Source organism: Homo sapiens, chromosome 2 (genome assembly GCF_000001405.40).
Source record: "Homo sapiens chromosome 2, GRCh38.p14 Primary Assembly".
Taxonomy (NCBI): domain Eukaryota; kingdom Metazoa; phylum Chordata; class Mammalia; order Primates; family Hominidae; genus Homo; species Homo sapiens.
The window spans coordinates 193523164-193527656 of record NC_000002.12 but is presented as its reverse complement, the minus strand read 5'-3'; positions in this window follow the sequence as shown (position 1 = coordinate 193527656).

Here is a 4493-nt window from a genome sequence, read left to right as displayed (position 1 = left end):
TTAAGCAGTTTTTTTGGCGTGTCATATTTTATTTCTAGTCACTACCAGCTGCAAAAATACTTGCTTCTTATGATAATCATAAAATGAACTGCTAAAGAAATGGGAAATGATATTGTTTCTTTCTGATTCTGATCTCCCATCAACAATTTACAATTTCAGAGCAGTATTAGCTCAATATAGAAAGAAACAGCTGCTTAATGTACCTTAATTGTTAGGCAATATCTCATTTTCTCTAGATAGCAAATTCAGCAGATTCTGGGGAGCACGTGTTTATTGTTCTTCCACTGCTCACAGGAAACCATGCTCTATGCTTTACTCTCCTAAGACAAAGGTTCCAGAGACTCGTGCTTTGCAAGTAAAAAACACAACCAGAGACTTTCCCCATCACTGGCATTAGTCATTAGTTTGATCACATTGTGACAGACGACCTGGATTCAATCAACTGGAAAAAAGAAAAAATTCTAGTTGACCTTGTAACACCACTGCTTTCAATGTATGATAATGATTTAAATAGCAATAGAGAAAGTTGCCCTTATCACATATCTATAAATGTGTGTCTGTGCCACTCACAGTCTATTCTTAGTGTAATAGGGACTTTATCAAGCTTTAAAATCCGCTGAAATGACTAACACACTACATTGATAAACGCAACAACAGAAAACTCATCAATGTTTCAAAACTACCTTTGTTCTTCTCTACAGGTGACAATATCTTGTGATGTGAGAGGTGAACACTGTTAGGGAAGGGTTGAAGAAATGGTTATGATGCATCTCTTTATTATTTAATCCATGGTTAAATTTGATTTGCTAATGTTTTAAGATCTTTATCTGTGTTAATAAATAATATTGTTATATAATTTTCTTTTCTCATATTGTCCTTGTCAGTTTTGGTACCAGAATTATAAAATGAGTTGCATAATAATAATCTCTCTTTTTATTTTCTCTAGAATAACTCTGTAAAATTGCAATGATCTGTTTCATGAATTTTTGGTAGTAAGCACCCTTAAAACAATTACATTTTTTTGGTGTGCAACTGTTTAAATGCTTAATAAAACAGGTTAATGGTTTCAGGGCTGACTGATATTTTCAATTTGTGCTTAAGTAAATTTTGGCAAATCATTTTCCTACAAATTTACTCATTGTATTTGACATTTTACATATATTAGCAAACATTTGTTGATATCCTAGATAACTTTATACCTATTCCATGTTTTTCTTTCATTATTAATTTGTCTCTATTTGGCTTTTAAGTTTGTATTTTTAAATATTGTTTTAAATATTCTAGGTCTTTGGCATTTCCATATAAATTGTGAAATCAACTTGTCAATTCTTAAGGTAAGCTTGTTTGAGTTTTAATGGGATTGTGCTAAATCTATAGAAAAACTTGAGGGGAGCCAAATTCCTATAAACATGGAGTCTTCTTATGTACACATGTAGTTATATTTATCTTAGCAAAGATTTAAAGTTGGCACTCTACACATCTCTAAGTCAACAGATCATGGAAACTCAACAAAACCTAAACAAGATAAACACAGACAACACGAAATACAAAAAAAAAATTCACAAAAAATACAACAGAGTTAAGCAACTGCATAGCTTAGAGGGGACAGTCTATAGACCACCCTCGTTTATGACATCAATTTCAAGGTAAGCAGGATTCTCAAAATCACTCTGAGTTTCAATAATCTGCTAGAAGGAATCACAGAACTCACTAAAAGCTGCTATACTCACGTTTATAGCTTATTAAAAGGAAACAATGCAGACTAAAATTAGCCAGGGAAAGAAGCACACAGAAAAGAGTCCAGAAGAGTTTTAAATGTGGAGCTTCCAATTTTCCTCACCTTATAGCGTCAAAACGACATTACTTTCCTGGCATCAAGGTGTGGCAATATGCATGGAATATGGCAACCAGGAAAACTCACCAAAATTTCAGTGTCTCAAGTTTTCCTTGGGGGCTTCATCATATAGTCGTGACTGATTGCCCACGTGGTTGTTCTCAGTTTCTAGCCACTCTTTAGATCAATGGATAGAATATGACTGATTGTCCCTATTCTAAAGTTATTGTTGTTCTTTCTGGAATGGTTACCCACTCATCCAACCTCCCCCATCATCTCCCCAACTCCTAGATACACTGCGGCCAGCTTCAATGCTAAATCATATTGTTAAACTGTCTGGTGACTCAAGACCCACAGGGAAATAACCACATTCTTATAAGGCGAAGACCAGACCTCTTTTGGGCAAGATTAAATTCTTTCATAAGAAGTACATCATAATCAATTTATTTTAGAGAAATCAGGATTGATTTTTTTTTTTTTACTTATATTAAGTTCAGGGGCACAAGTGCAGGTTTGTTACATAGGAAAACTTGCATCATTGGGGTTTGTTAAACAGGTTACCTTATCACCCAGGTATTAAGCCTAGTACCCATTAGTTATTTTTCCTGATCCTCTCTCTCCTCCTACCCTTCACCCTTCAAAAGGCTCCAGCATGTGTTATTCTCCTCTCTGTGTCCATGTGTTCCCATCATTTAGCTCCCACTTATAGGTGAGAACCTGTGGTATTTGGTTCTCTCTTCTGGTGTTAGTCTGCTAAGGATAATGGCCTCCAGCTCCACCCATTTTGCTGCAAACGACATGATCTCATTCTTTCTTGGGACTGCATAGTATTTAATGGTGCATATGTGCCACATTTTCTTTTTCTAGTCTATCATTGTTGAGCATTTAGATTGATTCCATGTCTTTGCTATTTCGAATAGTGCTGCAATGAACATCCTCATTCAAGGAATAGAATGATTTACATTCCATTGGGCATATATCCAGTAACAGGATTGCCAGGTCAAATGATATTTCTGCTTTTAGATCTTCGAACAATCACAACACTGTCTTCCACAATGACTGAACTAATTTACACTCCCACCAACGGTGTATAGGTGTTTCTTTTTCTCCATAACCTTGCCAGCATCTGTTATTTTTTGACTTTTAAATAACAGCCATTCTACTGTGAGATGGTATCTCACTGTGGTTTTGATTTGCATTTCTCTAATGATCAGTGATGTTGAGCTTTTTTCATATGCATAATCAAAATTTTTAACATGAATGATTATCAGAAAAATCTTTGAAGCAGTAAGGGAAAATAAATACTTTGTAAATAAAGTATTTATTGAAATAAACCATAACTCTGTGTTCACGTATTACCTATTGCTACTTTCGTACTAAGGAACTAAACAAGGGAAATAGAAAAGAGACACATTCTGCCAAACCTAACTCAAGAAGAATTTTTTTTTAAAATGTGGTGGTATGAGATCTTTCAAAATAAGCAAAGATCTCTTAAAACAGAGAAAACAATAATCTAAAAAAAAGTTCAGCTTTATCAAAATTTTTAAAATAGCTCTTTGAAAATCACTGTTAAAAATAGTCAATCAACAAACTGAGAAAATAGTTTCAAGCATGTGATAAAGAACTTGTACCCAAATATACAAACAACCATCACAACTTAAAAGTTAAAAGATATATGACTAATAAAAAGTTGGCAACATTGTGAAGGAGATATTACACAAAGAAAAATGCAAGAAAAGCCAAAAAACACAAGAAAAAGAGCCCAATGTCATCTGTTTTCAAGGAAATGAAAATTTAAAACTTATTAACATTGAATTTCATACCCACTTGAATGGCTATAATTGCACAGGTTTACACCAATTTTCCTAATAATGCTGACAAGCTGGCACTCACATACATTGCTAATGGAAGTGTAAATTGTACAATCACTTAGGAAAAACTCCTGGCAGTACATTATAATGTTAAATAAGACTCAATATGACCTAGCAGTTGTACTTCCAGACACTCATCAAGAAAATATGTCCACAAAATGACTTGTATACCCATAGTCACAGCAAATTTATTCATAGCTTCCTCACACTGGCACAAAGCAAATATTCGTGAGGAGGAAAATATATAAACATATTTAGTTATATAACATTCTATAGAATACTAAATATCCTATATTATATTAATTAAATATTATTTAACAACAAGAAGACAGAAAGTACTACTGATATATACAAAAGCATGGATGGAAATCAGAGGTATTATATCATCATATTGAGGAAAAGAAGTGGGGCATGCTGTGTAATACTGTGTAATTCCACTTATATGAAGTTGTAGTACTGATAAAACTAATGTATGATCAAAATTTCCTAAAAAGATACTATATCTAGGGGGTAATTGAATGGGGAGGGGCAGGAGAAAGCTTTCCGGAACTTTACGAATGTTTTGTATATTAATAGGAATCACGCTGTGCAGATATATGCATTTGTTTAAATTAATCAAATAGAATGTTTCAAGATTTTGGTATCTTACAGAATGTAAATTTTACCTAAACAAAATATAATCTATAAACATATTTAATTATAAACAATAAAGGTGCTTTTCATAGTGCTAGGGACTAGAATTTCTGAAACCGCTTTCTGTGTATTTTAGTCTTGAACAATAGAGAAAC